The 17455-nt window shown below is 50.9% G+C and overlaps 1 protein-coding gene across 3 annotated transcripts in view, besides 5 other annotated features; it reads left to right on the top strand.

Annotated features, from left to right (window-relative positions):
* Positions 55-154: an enhancer, noted in NCBI's record as "active region_3666". NCBI's record gives its function as "activates an Ori minimal core promoter by ATAC-STARR-seq in GM12878 lymphoblastoid cells {active_cell/tissue: GM12878}" and the evidence as "EXISTENCE:reporter gene assay evidence [ECO:0000049][PMID:35858748]".
* The window catches only part of SH2D4B (SH2 domain containing 4B), a 108659-nt gene continuing 92960 nt past the window's right edge, over positions 1757-17455 (top strand). For 2 of the 3 annotated variants that reach the window (NM_001388272.1, NM_207372.2), the window contains exon 1: positions 1757-2370. In NM_001388272.1, the coding sequence (NP_001375201.1) occupies positions 2187-2370 (184 nt within the window). In that variant the 5' untranslated portion in view covers positions 1757-2186. Of the gene's footprint in view, positions 2371-4673; positions 4789-17455 lie in introns of those variants that run through there. The other variant, NM_001145719.1, reaches the window with a different exon arrangement.
* Positions 3461-3600: an enhancer, noted in NCBI's record as "active region_3667". NCBI's record gives its function as "activates an Ori minimal core promoter by ATAC-STARR-seq in GM12878 lymphoblastoid cells {active_cell/tissue: GM12878}" and the evidence as "EXISTENCE:reporter gene assay evidence [ECO:0000049][PMID:35858748]".
* Positions 4638-4817: an enhancer, noted in NCBI's record as "active region_3668". NCBI's record gives its function as "activates an Ori minimal core promoter by ATAC-STARR-seq in GM12878 lymphoblastoid cells {active_cell/tissue: GM12878}" and the evidence as "EXISTENCE:reporter gene assay evidence [ECO:0000049][PMID:35858748]".
* Positions 4968-5027: an enhancer, noted in NCBI's record as "active region_3669". NCBI's record gives its function as "activates an Ori minimal core promoter by ATAC-STARR-seq in GM12878 lymphoblastoid cells {active_cell/tissue: GM12878}" and the evidence as "EXISTENCE:reporter gene assay evidence [ECO:0000049][PMID:35858748]".
* Positions 5198-5317: an enhancer, noted in NCBI's record as "active region_3670". NCBI's record gives its function as "activates an Ori minimal core promoter by ATAC-STARR-seq in GM12878 lymphoblastoid cells {active_cell/tissue: GM12878}" and the evidence as "EXISTENCE:reporter gene assay evidence [ECO:0000049][PMID:35858748]".

Below are 17455 nucleotides of genomic sequence, written 5' to 3' on the forward strand. Positions count from 1 at the left end.
GCCATCCGCGGCTGGGTGACGCTCACGTCCCCGCGATTCGGTGTCTCTTGGCCTCCTGCCCCGCTGACCTGGGAGTGCCAGGGATCACCCCGCCCCCAGCGAGATCCCCTCTATCGCACAAAATGGGCGCTAGCGGGGGTCATTCTAGTCCGGCTGCCTCACTCTCCCGACGGTCCTCCAGGGTGGCACCATCACCGTTCTCGCCCGCCTCCAGCCGGCCCATTCCTGCTGCTCCCTACAGCGTTGTCCCTGCCCCGTGCCCTCTTGTGGTCGTAGGTATCTGGCGGCCCGGGAAAGACAAAAAGAAGCTGCCCGCAGGAGCCCAGACCCTGGGGGCCTTCCTCCCCTTGTCTCCTCTTTGGACTCGGGGGTCTCCCACCAGCCACGGCGAGGGGGAGAAAGAGAATAGCTGGGCAGAGGCTAGGGAAGACCCCCGGTCTCAGAAACTGAGGGGAGCCAGGACTCCCGGTGGGGGAGTCGGTGCAAGCCCTGAGGTGGGTGGATGGGAGTCCAGGGCCACAGCTCTGCAGCGGACAGGCGAGTCCTGTGGCGGCTCTAGGAAGGTCTGGGCACACTGGGACCAGCTAGCTGGACCTGGGTGGGGAGGGGTGGGGCGTCTGACTCCACTCCTGTGACCTGGACATTGCCTAGCTGAGCAGGAGCTTTGACCCTATGGGCTTACAGCTCATCTGAATCTGCTTAGTCCATCTTCCTGTTGTGTTAACCTTGCAGAGGGGGAAGAATGCCAACTCTCCACCCCTCTTCCATCACTCTTGGGTACCTGATCCACCTTCCACCCTCATGGGCAAGGAAGGGGACAGGAAGGTCACCAATCCAACCAAGCCACAGTGCCAAATCCTGTTGGTTCGTTTGTTTTCCCTTGGTTGGGTTATGTTTTCAAACCATCAACAGATTCATAGTTGCTAGTGGATGTCAAATTTCAAAACGGGGGAGTCCCAATACAGTGACTTGTCCATTAGGAAGCCATAGGCAAGCCACTTACTTTCTCTGAGCTTCAATATCCTTGTCCCAATAAGAAGGCATCTGTGATTTGCTCTGAGCACATATTTAGGGTGAGCTTTCACCCTAAAGATCTCAGCAACGGCAGCTTCTACCCACCTTCACACACCAAAGAGAGGGTGGCTTCCCTCCCAGCAGAAGGCAACATCCCGCCATTCCAGTGTGCTTCTGATCAGGGCACAGAGAAGAGCCAGTTTCATCTTCTTTCTTTTTGGTCAACTCCAGGCATCTGCAACAAACAAGATTAACAACGACCATTAAAACTGGCCCCTGGAGGGTTTATCTGTCAGCCACGCATGGCTGCAGGATCTCATTATATATAGGCCAAAGGGAAAGGATGTCTGCTTCCTTTCTGTCCTGGAATTCCAAGATAAAATCCCCTCCAGTTGTCTCTACTGATTCCATTTTGTTTTCTTTCTTGGCTGTAACACAGATAGGAGGAAAAATCTTTCCTCCCCCAAGGCAGAGTTTTAAACGCATCATCTCAGAATGCCAAATGTTCTGGAAAGGAAGAAAGTTGGCAGCGAAGGAACCCGCAGAGAGAGGGGCTGAGAGGGCTGAGGGGCCCAGCAGCTTCTGGCAGGCTCCTCTGGTCTGTGTTTGAAATTGGCTGAAAAGACATGGAATTTAGTAGGCAAGTCTGCCTCCTTCTCCTCCTCTTATCTGCAGAGGAGAGATCAGTTCCCAGCTGGCCGGGGCAGTGTCATTGATATAGCTGGTGTCATTGTTACCTTCCACTAACAGATCACTCGACACCTACCAGCCCAGGCAGGGCTGGGACTGGGCATTTCCTGGCTGAGCTGGAGGCTTGGGCCCTTCCCATTGTCTCAGAACCCCAGGTGATGCCAAGACATGGGCTCTCCTGGGATGCCGTGCTTGGTGACCCAGGAGAAGGACTAGATTGCTCCTGGTGGTTGCTCCCCCTTGCAGAGTCCCACCTGCCCCTTTGGGTCCTGTTGCCTGGCCTCTTTTGCTGTCCTGGGTAGAGGAGATGAGTTCGTCGCTGGCTGCAAGCTGAGGCCAACTGACAATGCTGCACAGAGAAGGGGCACCGAGAGTGGCCCCGGATTGAGCAGTCCGTAGTGCAGAGCAGCCCCTCGGGCGTTCTGCCTGGCCCTGCTTCCCCTGCTGGCTGCCCTTCTGGTGCGTGCATCCCAGGTGGCATCATGCTGCAGCAGATCCTGCACGACATGTACATCGACCCCGAGCTCCTTGCCGAGCTCAGCGATGTGCAGAAGCACATCCTCTTCTACAAAATGCGGGAGGAGCAGCTGAGGCGCTGGAAGGAGCGGGAGACTTGGGAGGCCCTGGCCCAGGACGAGGGTCTCAGGCCTCCAAAGACCAAGCGAGGTACGTGGCTGGGAGTCACAGAGAGGTAGGCCACCAGTCCCCCAGGAGGTAGAAAAATTAGCAGGGCCAGGCTGTGCCCTTCTTCAAGATGGGCACTGGGGTGATGAGGGCTGGGGGCTTGAAACCCTTGTCTTGTGGGCATCAGGTCCCATGAGCCTGTGCTTTTGCCTTTTGGCCAGGACCTTAGGGCTTCGAGGCTGCTGCAGAGGCTGTCCAGCGGCCCTTATTGGAGTCGGGGAGTTGGGACTTGCTTTGTCTTGTTGTGGAAGGCCCGAGTTCTGGGAAGACACCATTGAGACTTCAGATTGTGCTCCGACGTGGTTGGCAATGGTAGGGTGAACGACGGCATATTTGTGACCCTTGCCATTGGTTCTGGGCCAGAGTGTGGTGTAGATATGCAGTTCCTTTCTCCTTGGCATGCGTGGCACACCAGTTCTTGGCTAGGGCCCCTTCTGTGGACTGTGCCTCTCCCTCCAGATCCTCCGGCAGGAGGATGCTGTGGGTTGTCTCTGGAGCCCCACTGGGCATCCGGAGAGAGGGCATCAGGGAACGTCCCACACAATGAATGACCATCCCCAAATGGTCGTAGCAACTGCAGATGAGAAGCAAGGGCCTAGCCTACATTTCAGGTGTTTTGTATGCAAAGTCATGTGCCAGTCAATCCTATGGACTGGTACACCTGTGGGTGAAGGAAATCATCCAGGACCCCTGGGCCAGAAACTGGCAGGCTGCTGAGGCTTGGCTTGGCACAGGACTCAATCCTGCCAGGGATTGTAGTTTCTGTGGATGCTGCATGCACTTTACAGTTTGCAAGGCTTATGTGCCTTCACCCTTTGAAGTTTTCAATCCAGAACAAAGTCCTGTTTCAGGGCTGAGCACACAGCTCCCTTGGTGATCTGGCTCTTCTCCATGCCAGGCTCACTGCTGGCCAGTCCCCACCAGGTGCCACAGGCCACACCCACATCATCTGGACATGCTTGCTCTTGTCTCTGGTCTTCACATGAGTGGCTCTCACCGTTGGGAATGTCCTTCTGCCTTCATCCACCTGACAGACTCCATCAGGAGTGGCCCCCCTGCCCTGGAGTGTTCAGGGATGCTCTTGCATAGGGCAGTACTTGCTCCTCTGTGGCTGCCTGGCATGTAGGACCCACGCCTGCCCTGGCATTTGCCACCCTGTCATTGTCATTCCTCATCTGCTTGCCTGGCTCTCCGATGGGCTCAAAGGCACTGGTGTGTGAGGGCTTCCTCCACTCTATCTTCCTCCCCTGGGCCCAGCACAGAGGTGGCACATGGTGTTAAATCCTTGTTTTGAACAAGACACAGCAGGACCCTGCCGGGGAGGTTGGGGCAGAGCTGTGACTTGGCTGCAGGTGGCTGCTGCCAAAGCTGGGGCCTTCCGGGCTGGGCTGCGCTGGCAGCTGCATCACTAACTGGTGAAATGACAAGCCACCTTGCCAGCACCACCCGGCCTGAGCCCTGGGGACTCATGATGCCTGCATGATGACTCTTCTTGGAGGGAGACAGATGCCTAAAAATTTAACTGCAAAAATATTTATACAGAGATTTGTCACACATAGACATCTACATTTTCATGTATAAATTATACATTAAACTCATTTGAGTTTCTGGTGCAGAAGATCCTTTTTCTGGTAATTAATTTTCTGATTTATAAAGAATGGAAAAGCAGGAAAGCACGCCGAGGAATGTGTGTATCCCAGGTCAGGATCCCGCTTGGATCCTGGCTCTTTGCTTCGGTCCTGCCTTTTGGAACTGTCTGGGCATGCCACTGGGGAGCCTGGGGGCTGGCCCTGCCCAGGAGCCGGAAGAGCTTTCGGCCGGAGGGTCCAGGATATACAGTATCTGCTTCATGTCCTGGGGTCGTGATGAAGGGTGGCAACAACTTGTGAGCTTTACGTTGACTGGGTGCCTACCCAGCCCTTGCTGCTCCCGTGTCCCTGCGGGGTGGCAGGGCAAGCTCCCTGATTTCATTGCAGATAAGGAAGGTGAGGCTCAGAGAAGTGATGCGCTACATCCAAGGTCATCCAGCTGCTACATCTCATGACTTGGATCTGGGGTCTGGTGACTGATTTTTTTTCTGTTCATTCACTTCCAAACTCGGAACTCCAATTAAACAAGTGAGCTGTGCACACATTCACTTGTTCACTCATTCACCAATTCATTCACTTATCCAGCATTACTATGTGCTGATTTCAGTGAATGGGGCAGTGCTTGTCCTGGAGACGGTGGGTAGATGGATCATAGGGAACACAGCCAACTCGAGTGCCAAGGGTGAGGCTTGGTTCAAAGCAGCCGTGCCGTGTCCCAGGGCGGGAATTGTGCGGGGACGGGCTCCACGGAGGAATCTTCTCTTCCTTCCCTTGATGTTGCCAGAGGACTCAGGAGGCTCTCCAGATGCTGGTGAGACCCCAGCCCCAGTTGATGTCCAGGCTCTTGAAACTGTCTTGAGAAAGAACTCGGGAATGAGTCAGAATGATAGGAAAGGCAAGAAACTGTTAGTGAGAAGCGAAAGTACACACTTGAGAGAGAAGTGCGGGCGTGCTCATGAGAACGTGTCACACCCAGCAGAGTCTGGGTTTCTAATTTTATGGGTGTTTCTTTAATTAGGGGATGGAACAATTATTAGGTGTTCTGGAAGAGGAGGAGATTTCAGGGAACCCCCTGGGTTACTGTCTCCTTTCTCCCTTCTTTGGGTTTGCCCAGAAGAGCCATGGACAAGTCACCCTGAGTGGGATTTCAGCTGTTTTTACTCTCTTCCTTTGGGTTTTCTGTTATCTTGTTGTTTCTTTGTCTTGTTCTTGTTTTAGCTGTTGTTTGGGTTTTTCCATGCTCCTGTGACCACCCAGTGCTATTCTTGTCTCATTGACAGGCATCCTCTTTCCTGGTCCCCTCCCTACACATTTTTTTTCTGAAGGAAGCACCTGCTGTAGCCCTGCTGAGCTGTTTGCTGGCCCCTTGGGATCCCTGAGCATGACGTGGGTTAGTCCTGGTCAGCCTAGAGTGACACTGGGCCTCCTCCGGGCCATCGTCCCCAGTGCTCTAAAGCCTTCCCTCTCCCCTCTTTTCTGGGAACATTCCTCGCTCCTGGCAAGCCTGGCTTTGCCATCCCTTGGGCTCAAGTAACACTCCCCATGTCCCTACAGACAGGCAGGCAGGACAAGGTGTGCCTTGTGCCTGAGAACCTCACAGCCCCGGAGTTGTGCCTGGTGAGGGTGCGAGTAAACACTGGTGATGTGAATCATTCTCGTTTACAGAACCTAGGAGGTTTTCTTGATTCTGAGATCCACATTTGGAACCCACAGAAGTAAGCTTGGGTGAAAGCTTAGAGGCGGACTGTGAAAGGTAGGAAGGAGAGGAGATGAGGGCACGGCTGGACACATCACTCCTCTGAGCACATGGCATTTCTTTTCTGTTTTCACTTTACGCTTTGGCAAGAACCCTCTGATGTTCTATGCTGTGGTGGATGGTGTGGACCCCTCAGCTTGGTAGGTTTTTTAAATCTAACATCATGCTTATTGTGCTATCACGTTTCTGACAAAGTTCGTTGTCCAGTATATTGAGTATATTGAGACTCAGAGAAGGCATGTTATCACATTATGTCCCAGCAAGACTTCAGTCAAACCCCTCTAGCATGGCCACGACCTGTGCAAGCTCGTTCTCTCCTCATTCTCCTTGGCCACCACAGGAATGCACATCCTGTGTTAGGAATTATGAACTTCACAACCCTGTGGACTCCTCTCTGCTTACTCAGTCATCCCAGGTTCTCAGGGCCAGAGCTGGGTGTGACCAGGGGACACAGGACTGAGGACACATGTCCACACTACTGACCCAGGAAGCTTCCCTGTTTGGACCTGTCAGTTCTATCTTTTTTTTTTTTTTTTTCAGACAGAATCTCACTCTATTGCTCAGGCTGAAGTGCAGTGGTGTGATCTCGGCTCACTGCTACTTCTGCCTCCCGGGTTCAAGCGATTCTCCTGTCTCAGCCTCCCAAGTAGCTGGGATTACAGGCGCCCACCACCACAACCAGCTAATTTTTGTATTTAATAGAGACATGGTTTCATCATGTTGGCCAGGCTGGTCTTGAACTCTTGACCTCAGGTAATCCGCCCTCCTCGGCCTCCCAAAATGCTGGGATTACAGGCACGAGCCACTGTGCCTGGCCCTGTCAGTTTTATCTTGATTGACAGTTTCTGCTACTGTTAAATTGGTTCCTCTGTGACCGCCTCTCATCCTTCTGGATGCTTTTGCCTGGGAGCCAGACGTCTTTCCCTCCCGCTCTTCCCACTCTCCTGTTTGTGAATCAAGCCTGCACACTCAGGAAGCTGCTTCTTTCCTTTAGGTTTCCTACCAGGCAGCCAGCCTTCCTATGCCTGCTCACTGTCCTGCCCTCATTCCAGCCAGCAGAGTGCTCTGAGCCCAGTGGGGTTCCAGCCTCTACTGCCTCCATTCTCCACAGCTGGGCTCAGGATGTGCTCCCAGATGCAGCCCTGGCCTGGGGCCTAAGGGACTCACCCTCTTTAGCATCTTCTTTATTTCTCAGCATCAAGTTGAGAGGTGACAGCGTGCTGGCTGTCCTCACAGCCCTCTCTCGCTCTCGGTGCCTCCTCTGCCTGGGCTCCCTCCCACTTTGGCGGCACTTGAGGAGCCCTTCAGCCCGCCGTTGCACTGTGGGAGCCCCTTTCTGGGCTGGCCAAGGCCGGAGCCGGCTCCCTCAGCTTGCAGGGAGGTGTGGAGGGAGAGGCGCCAGCGGGAACCGGGGCCAGCGCGAGTTCCGGGGGGCGTGGGCTGGGCGGACCCCGCACTCGGAGCGGCCGGCCACCTGGCCGGCCCCACCGGCCCGGGGCAGTGAGGGGCTTAGCACCTGGGCCAGCAGCTGCTGTGCTCAATTTCTCACCGGGCCTTAGCTGCCTTCCCGCGGCGCAGGGCTCGGGACCTGCAGCCCTCCATGCCTAAGCCTACCCCCTGCCTCCGTGGGCTCCTGTGCCGCCCAAGCTTCCCCGATGAGCGCCACCCCCTGCTCCACGGCGCCCAGTCTCATCTACCACTCAAGGGCTGAGGAGTGCGGGCGCACCGCGCGGGACTGGCAGGCAGCTCCACCTGCAGCCCCAGTGCGGGATCCACTGGGTGAAGCCAGCTGGGCTCCTGAGTCTGGTGGGGTCATGGAGAACCTTTATGTCTAGCTAAGGGATTGTAAATACACCAATCGGCACTCTGTATCTAGCTCAAGGTTTGTAAACACACCAATCAGCACCCTGTGTCTAGCTCAGGGTTTGTGAATGCACCAATGGACACTCTGTATCTAGCTACTCTGGTGGGGACTTGGAGAACCTTTGTGTAGACACTCTGTATCTAGCTGATCTGGTGGGGATGTGGAGAACCTTTTTGTCTAGCTCAGGGATTGTAAACACACCAATCAGCGCCCTGTCAAAACAGACCACTCGGCTCTACCAATCAGCAGGATGTGGGTGGGGCCAGATAAGAGAATAAAAGCAGGCTGCCCAAGCCAGCAGTGACAACCCACTCCTGTCCCCTTCCACACTGTGGAAGCTTTGTTCTTTTGCTCTTTGCAATAAATCTTGCTATTGCTCACTGTGGGTCCACACTGCCTTTATGAGCTGTAACAGTCACTGCGAAGGTCTGCAGCTTCACTCCTGAAGCCAGCAAGACCGCGAGCCCACGGGGAAGAATGAACAACTCCAGAGGCGCCGCCTTAAGAGCTGTAACAGTCACCACAAAGGTCCGCAGCTTCACTCCTGAGCCAGCGAGACCACGAACCCACCAGAAGGAAGAAACTCCGAACACATCTGAACATCAGAAGGAACAAACTCCGGATACACCGCTTTTAAGAGCTGTAACACTCACCGCGAGGGTCCGTGGCTTTATTCTTGAAGTCAGTGAGACCAAGAACCCACCAATTCCAGACACAGAGTCACTCCCACTGCCCTCATGGAAACTGTATGACACCATCCTTTTCACTAGGCATTTGGCTTCCCTGTTTCCTGGGCCCGTCCAGTAGCCACGGCAACCTTGCCTGCTGGGCTTGGGCCCTCTTGGCTTCCGTGTGTCCTCTTTCCAGGCATGGATGTCCTGACCTTGCATGCCAGCCCTGCCTGGACCCCTGCATGGAGCCCTGCACCTGCCTGCAGACATTCCCATGGTGGCCCTGATCTCAGTGCAGTCCCTGCCCACCCTACCTCAAGCTCATCCCTACAATTCCTTCCCACAGCAGCTGCAGACCTTTGGACACACGAGTTAGCTCACGTATCCCCCTGCCTCGATGGTTTTCATGGCACTCATGAAAGGCACAGGCCTTTGCTGGCACCTGCCCACCTCTTCAAGCTAATTTCCACCATGTGCATCCTTCTGCATGGAATGCCCTTTCCCCAGATCCTCATGAGGCTCTTCTGGGTCATCATTCATCTCTCGGTTGAATGCAGAGTTCTTCACTGGTCACCCACTCGCAATGAGCCCCATCCCAATCTCTCTCTTTCAAAACCTGCCTACTTTTCTTCCTAGCACTTAGCATGTCTGCAAGTATATTTTTAAAAATTATGGTAAAATACACATAACATGAAATTTACCATTTTAGCCATTTAAAGTGTGTAATTCAGTGACATTTAGTACATTCAAAATATTGTCCAACTATCACCACTGTCTAGTTCCAGAACATTTTTCTCACTTCAAAAACAAACCCCGTAGCCATGAATGGTCACTCCCTAGCCCCTCCTGTGCTCAGGACCTGGCCACCACTGATCTGCTTTCTGTCTCCGCGAATTTGCCTCTTCCTCCTCTTTCTTCTCCTTCTCTCTCTTCCTCTTCTTCCTTTCCTCCTCCTTCTCCTTCTTTTGCTTCTCCTCCTCCTCTCCTCTTTCTCTTACTTTCTGTCCTCTTTCTTCTTCTCCTTTCTCTCCTCCTCTCCCTTTTCTTCTTCTCCTTTTTCTCCTCCCTCTCTTCTCCCTTTTCTTCTTCTTCTTCCTCTCCTCCTTTCTTTTCTCCTCCTCTTCTCCGCTTTCTTCTACTCCCTCTCCTCTTGCTCCATGTACCTGTTTGCTTGTTTACGGTCCATCTCTTCCATTAGCCTAAAAGTGCCATGAGTCCATGGATGTTGCTTGCATTGTTACAGTTTCTATCCCAGCATCGAGAACAAGGTCTGGGGCAGAGATGGGGTGTGCATGGGTGAGTAGCGGCTAAGGTGCTTAAATGTGTGCTGTGACAGAGGGGTTTGACTGGGGACACAGATGCTAAAGGATTGCTTTTTTGAGTGAAAGGCTGTGTGCTGCACGATGTGACCTCTCCACCCCACTACACATCAAAAATCCTCACTAAAAGTATAGAAATCAGAATATATGTGTGCTTTGGGATTTGTTGTAGAGGCTGATATACAATAATATATGTATAAGCAATGATAAATCTGTCACCTTTTCACTTTTACTTACAACTCATTCCATTTTCTTATTTTCTCTCCTTTCTCTCTCTCTTTCTTTCTTTCTCTTTCTTTCTTTCTCTCTCTTTCTTTTTTTTTTTTTTTTTAGACAAGGTCTTGCTCTGTCATCCAGGCTGCAGTGCAGTGGTGCAATCTCAGCTCACTGCAACCTCTGCCTCCCAGGTTCAAGTGATCCTCGCACCTCAGCCTCCTGAGTAGCTGGGACTACAGGCGTGTGCCACCATGCACGGCTAATTTTTGTGTTTTTTTTTGTAGAGACAGGGTCTCAGCATGTTGCCTAGACTGCTCTCGAACTTCTGGGCTCAAGCAATCCACCAGCCTTGGCCTCCTAAAGTGCTGGGATTATAGGTGTGAGCCACTGCGCTGGCCACTCATTCAATTTACATTTCTTGTTTTAGGATTTGAACTTGGGTTTTAGCCTGACCAATGCTACTTTTTTTCTTTGCATTTACTTGGTGTATATTTGCCTGTATCTCCCACCACAGCCTTTTGATGCCATTTTGTTTTAAGAGACTGTCTTGGAAAATGTATATTAAATAGCATACGGTATTTTTTTTTTTTTTTTTGATACGGAGTCTCACTCTTTTGCCCAGGCCGGACTGCAGTGGCGCTATCTTGGCTCACTGCAAGCTCCACCTCCTGGGTTCATGCCATTCTCCTGCCTCAGCCTCCCGAGTAGCTGGACCTACAGGCGCCCACCACCGCGCCCGGCTAATTTTTTTTGTATTTTTAGTAGAGACGGGGTTTCACCATGTTAGTCAGGATGGTCTCAATCTCCTGACCTCATGATCCGTCCGCCTCGGCCTCCCAAAGTGCTGGGATTACAGGCGTGAGCCACCGCGCCCAGCCAGCATACGGTATTTTAAAACTTACTTTCATAAATGTATTCAAGCTAATTATCTTTATCAGGAATGAAACATGATCTACTGAAGATGAGAAACATAAGCCTATTTTTATATTCTTCCCCATGGTTTTGTTGGTGTAATCAAGGATGGTAACCTCAGATTTTAGTTGATTTTGTTTACATTATGTATTTCATCTCTCAAGATTTATTTTTTATGCTCATAGTAGAGGTTTTATAATGAAATCCCAATAACAATAGTTGCTTGCATGTTAACTCCACTTTGTCTGGTTTCATTGCTCCCTGTATGTTTTCCCTCTGAGGGGCAGTGATAAATGCTTTATTTCCCCTTTGCCCCACTGTACAAGTGATTTGTCCAATCAAGCAGCGCACCCCTCACTGTTGGGATTCTTAGCACATTACACTGAAGTCACTAAACACCATGGGAAATTCTTGCTTAAAGCTGCCTTGCGCCCCATCCCTAGTCTTGCTGTCATAATATGTTCTTGGGACACCATTGATTTTGGCATGCTGATTTTCCTCAACCTCCTTCTTCAGTGTTTTTTGTTAGTTCCAACAGCTTTTTGGTTGATTCCCTTGGACTATCTAGGGAGCCATGCTGCACAGGAACACTGGGAAGTCAGGGGAGCAGATGCCCCAGATATCTGGACCATAGCTCTTTGTAGCTGTTGTTCACAACCCCTTTCCTGGACACTGGGGACAGTGATTCCAGGACAGTGCTGGGAGCGGGAGGGAGGGGTTAGGGAGGTGACTGACAGAATCTCCTCCCTGGTGTCTCTTCGTGATGTTTATTTACCATTAGTGCCCCATTTCTTTTGTTAAGAAAACACTTCCTGTCACCATGTAAATATTCAAGGAACAATTCTCTGGAGGAAATACTTGATCACGTGTGTATAAGGAGAGAAAATGAGGTGTCTAGGGGTGAGGGACAGTGTCCAGAGCCCTATGGAGGACACTAGTTATTTCCAGGAAGACAAGAAGTAAGAAGCCTCTTGTGCCATGAGAGTTGGAAAGTTGGGGCTGAGTGTGGGTCTGAGGGACCAGTTAAGGCAGCTGGTGATGAATGAGATATTGCCAGCTTCTGAAGGGGAGCCCCAAAATCAAACAAGAAGAAAATCATTAGAAGTGGATTTATGGTGACACAGGGCTGTCCACCTGACCCCAGAGAGATGTCCTATCACCTGTCACCTGTAGGTAGGTACCCCTTGAAGCTCTGGTAGGTATTTGGAAGGCAAGCAGACCCTGACACTCTTCCAGACTTCCCACCCAAGGGATGCTCCCTTAGCTCATTTTCTGAGGGATTCTAAGGTGGGAAATAGTGTCATAGATCATTTTTCTTTCTTCTTAGACAGTTTCACTCTGTCGCCCAGGCTGGAGTGCACTGATGTGATCTCAGCTCACTGCAACCTCCGCCTCCTAGTTTCAAGCGATTCTCCTGCCTCAGCCTCCTGAGTAGCTGGGATTAAGGTGCGTGCCACCATGCCCAGCTAATATTTGTATTTTTAGCAGAGATGGGGTTTCACTATGTTGCCCAGGCTGGTCTCAAACTCCTGACCTCACATAATCTGCCCACCTCGGCCTCCCAAAGTGCTGGGATTACAGGTGTGAGCCACCGCGTCCAGCCTCATTTTTCCACCCTTGGGTGGGCTTGATGTTATTTTCAAAATGCCTATGGCATGGTGGATGGATCCAGGCCAACTCAATTTCATCCTGATTCCACTGGGGTGGCTTTGGAAAGTCACCCATGCAATGAGAATAACAACTCTTTCCCAACAGTTTTTGGAAGAATTAAAAATGCTTCTTCAACAAGGGGGACAGCTTCTGCCACCATGCAGGTACCTAAGAGCCAGGTCATGCTCGTCTCCTTCCTTTCTTGGTTCTGCTGGCAGATCCCCTTGGAATTAGTCTGGGCCTCTTCCTGAGTGCTCCATTGCTAGCCCTAGTCTATGGGACCAGCCACATCACTGTCTAGCCAACCTCAGTTTTTCTGGAGTCTCAGCAATGGGGGGTGACTTAGGGAGCAAGGGCTTTCCTGTGTGTCTCAGATCATCAACCCTTGTGTAGTTTACACATTTACTTTTACTTTTTAGGATATATTGGAGGAAATTCAGTTTTTCCAATGAAGGGTCACTCTTGATTCTTGGGATGCTGATAAGCTTTTCAGATGAATGATGTAAAGATGAGGCATCATGGTGGGTGCAGGAAGAGCACACAGAGAATTGCTGTGATCTGCTGGTAACTGTCGGCACAGCCTGTGGCCTGGGACTCCCTGATTGTGATTGTGTGGCTAAACATAGGGCTCCCTCCTGAGCCAGGCAGTGGAACAAAGGCTAGGGATCTCCGAGAGCTGTGATGGGACTTGATTGTGTGTGTGTGTGTGTGTGTGTGTGTGTGTGTGTGTGTGTGAGTTTGGCATGTGTTCTGCTGGCGTTTGGGGCATGGAGAGAGAGCTGGGGCCAGACCTTTCTGTTCCATCTGCCTGGACCTTGAGATCCGGTATGGCCCTGCCGTGCAGTGGGTGCTTCGCCCAGGTTTGTGGCCTTGACATTGATGGGGCCTCACTTTCTGGCTCCCAGCCTCCTGTTCTGCCTCCATACAGCAGCCAGAAAGGTGAGACAGCTGTGCAGATGAGTGAGCTCCTCAGGGGTGTAGTCTCAGCATCTCCCCTGGAGCTCAGACCCTTCATCTGTAATGGGCACGGTCTTTACTGAAACCACCTCCCTCCAGGGGAGGTTGTGGGGATTAAGTGAGCCATGTGCAAAGTGCCTGAAGTCCACCCGGCGTGCACAGCACCTGCCGAGGGCTTCTGGTTCCTTTGCAGCCTGCCACCTTGCTCTTGTTTCCTTCCTGCCTTCCTCAGGCCCAGCAGTGAGGTTCTTAGTGAGGCAGCTCCACTTGCAAAGGCCACCAGGGCCCACTGCTCCCCATCTTTAGCACCAGTGCTTTCCGAAGCTGCACAACCTCGACTTACCAGGTGGGCAGTGAGAGGAGCCAGAGCAGAGGCTGCTGTGAGCAGGCATGGGGTCACCCACAGTCACCGGTGCTGATGGCACTTGGTACCTGGCAGGCATGGGCATCCCCAGGGGTGAGGGTGGTTTCTGTGGCTGTGGAGAAAGATTAATATTTAATTAATTTAATTAATTAACAATTAATAATTAATTGTCAGCTTTGAATAATCTGTGTCCACAAGGAAAGAACTTGCAGCCTTAGTCAGCTAAGGGCTTTTGGTGGGGAGCGGGGGGTGGGGGAAAGGGGTCCCTGGAAGCTAAGGAGGATGGGTCGGATGGCAGAGCAAGAAGTAAAGGCAGCTGCATTCTATACTATGAAGGAGAACTCCTCCAGATGGAGGGCCTGTCAGGCCTGTGCTAGGCCCTTTAAGGGCCTCAGCTTATCTGACCCCTCAGTGACCTGGAAGATGCACCCCTATGCATTTCATAAAATCTAAGAGTGCTTGATTGAAAGACACATCATTGGCTGGGCACAGTGGCTCACACCTGTAATCCCAGCACTTTGGGAGGCTGAGGTGGGCGGATCACGAGGTCAGGAGATCGAGACCATCCTGGCTAACATGGTGAAACCCCATCTCTACTAAAAGTACAAAAAAACTAGCCGGGCATGGTGGCAGGCGCCTATAGTCCCAGCTACTCGGGAGGCTGAGGCAGGAGAATGGCGTGAACCCAGGAGGTGGAGCTTGCAGTGAGCCCATATCGCGCCACTGCACTCCGGCCTGGGTGACAGAGTGAGATTCCGTCTCAAAAAAAAAGAGAAAGACACATCATTATTTTATGTCCTACTAAGAAAGCTGTAAATTAAACTATGATACATCAATGGTTGTAAGTACATCCTGATTGAAGAAATGTTAAAATAGGTGTCTTTGAATCAATGAATAAGGTATTATTTCCATTTTAGTTGAGCAAGTGGAATCTCAGAGAGGTTTAGCAACCTGCTCTAAAAAACAAGTAGGAGTTGGAATTAGAATCTGATCCTAGGCCTGTTCTTCCTGCCACAACATAGGAAGCTTCCTCCACACTGTTTCTGCCATGATGAAAAACATATATTGCAGGTGGTTAAAGATCAACACAAAAAAAGGAGAAACAAAATTATCAAAGTAATAAAAGAAAATATGAGACTCTGTTGGGGGAGAGTGAAGCCTTTCTTAGAATAAAGCACAACAAGGAAAAGAAAAAGAAAAAGAAACATGACTTGATTTTTATTTTATTTTATTTTTTTTGAGACGGAGTCTCACTCTGTTGCCCAGGCTGGAGTGTAGTGGCGCGATTTCGGCTCACTGCAAGCTCTACCTCCCGGGCTCACGCCATTCTCCTGCCTCAGCCTCCTGAGTAGCTGGGACTACAGGCACCCTCCACCATGCCCGGCTAATATTTTTTGTATTTTTAGTAGAGATGGGGTTTCACCATGTTAGCCAGGATGGTCTCGATCTCCTGACCTCGTGATCTGCCTGCCTCGGCCTCCCAAAGTGCTGGGATTACAGATGTGAGCCACCGCGCCTGGCCAACATAACTTGATTTTTAAAAATCTTAATAAAAGATGCCAAACTTAAAAAAAGAATGAAACTGGATTTAAATAGAAAAATATTTGCAACATATATAACAGGCAAAGGATTAGTATCCAGAAAATATAATGAAGTGCTCCAAATCAACTAGCAAAAGACAAACAACCAATAGAAAAATGAAGGAAAAAAAATGAACAAGCAATTGCAGGAGGGAAATTTCAAATCACAATGAAGATGCGAAAATACATTCAACTTCACTAATAAACCACTTCCACTCAAATTAAAGCAATCAGATTAGCAAGAGTTAGGAGAGTCTAAGAGTAGCCATGTTAATGAGGACCCAGGGAAAGAGATTCTCTCCCACACTACAAAGAGTGAGACACACAGCGGGACTGAGTGCCTGTCCCTTTCCAATGCTTCTGCAGGTTCCCGAAGAGCTTGGGCAGATGGGGATGGGGTGGTGGTGTCTTAGTCCAGGCTGCTATAAGAAATTATCACACACTGAGTAGTTTAAACAACAAACATTTCTCACAGCCCTGGACTCTGGATGTCTGAGGTCAGGGAGCCAGCATGGTCAGGGGTCTGATGAGAGCCCTCTTCCTGGATGCCAATGGCTGACTTCTGTATCCTTACATGGTGGAAAGAAAGTGTGCTAGCTCTCTGGCCTCTTCTTATAAAGGCACTAATCCCATTCATGAAAGTTCCATTTTGTTGACCTAATTACCTCTTGCCCTAATTACCTTCCAAAGGCCATACCTCCTAATACCATTACACTGGGACTAGGGTTTCAATGTATGAATTGCAGGGGTACACAAACATTCAGAATTTCAGACCATTGTTAGAGAACAGAGGCTCATGCCCAGGGTCACACAGCTGGTCAGTGATCAGTGGACCAGCAGGGAGCCTGAGTTTCGGTGCAGTTTCCCTTTCCTTCCCTTCTCCCAGCTGCTGCCAAAAGCCCAGGGACTGTTTGAACAGGACTGACTTTTGCTCCACTTTGCATGGAGGGAGGTGCCTCTCCTGCGCTACTTCAGGACTCCAGCTGGTGGATGCTGACCTGAGCTGCCCTAGCTTCCTGTCTCTCCCCTGGGATTCTTTTCTGTCCCCTCATTTCAGGATGCTAACGCTGTCCCCTCCCTGCTTCCCCATCTCTGCACCTCCCTGCTTCCACTTCCAGCCTGGAGGACAGCAGGGGCAGCTCGTGAGAAAGGCCACCAGCTGCTTATCTCGGCACTCCCTGTAACCCAATCCCAGCTCTCACTCCAGCTCAGAGGAGCTGGGTGGAAGTAGCAGGTTGTAGGCATCTACCTGTCCCTCTGCTATCTCTCCGAGTGGCTAGCATTACTGCTTTCCAGGTTTTTCTCACCTAAGAATCAGCAAAGCTTCCTATGGTTTTCCCATTTGGAAACAGATTTTGCCTTAGATGTTGGGGTCTAAATTCTTTGGGTTCATTTTCATGTGTATTTACCCCATGTCGTGTTAGAATTACATAACCCTAGGCTTTAGGCATTTCTTTCTCCCCCTCTCTCTCTTTCTTTCTCTCTCTCTCTCTCTCTTGCTCTCTCTCTCTTTCTTTCTTTGAGACGGAGTTTTGCTCTTGCTGCCCAGGCTGGAGTACAATGGCACGATCTTGGCTCACTGCAACCTCTGCCTCCCGGATTCAAGTGATTCTCCTGCTTCAGCCTCCCGAGTAGCTGGGATTACAGGTGCCCGCCACCACACCTGGCTAATTTTTTATATTTTTTAGTAGAGATGGGGTTTCACCATGTTGGCCAGGCAGGTCTTGAACTCCTGACCTCAGGTGATCCACCCACCATGGCCTCCCAAAGTGTTGGGATTACAGGTGTGAGCCACCATGCCTGGCTGGCATCATTTATTTCTATCCTAGTATTTCACTGGTGTGCTTTTTTTCTGGGCACCATGGTGGGATTCTCACCCTCAAAACTGTGAGATGCTAAAGATTTAGGATGTCCTGTCCCTTGTCCCCAGGACATGTGCAGCTCCCTCATTTTACAGATTAAGCGATTTTGATCCCAGAGATTTTAAGGAACAGGACTGACAGCAGGGTCTGGGCTCCTCACTGGCACATTGATTCTGCTGTGTCTCTGTATTGAACAAATTGCAGACAGGGAAGTAGGGGTTGGAGGTGGGGCGTTGTGGATTTCCCAATGACAGTTACACCAAGTCCTGCTACACGTGGGGCATCATGGCCCCGGTGGGAGCTGTTCTTGGGTTTGTTCTTGTTCTA

This window comes from Homo sapiens, chromosome 10, assembly GCF_000001405.40.
Source record: "Homo sapiens chromosome 10, GRCh38.p14 Primary Assembly".
NCBI lineage: Eukaryota > Metazoa > Chordata > Mammalia > Primates > Hominidae > Homo > Homo sapiens.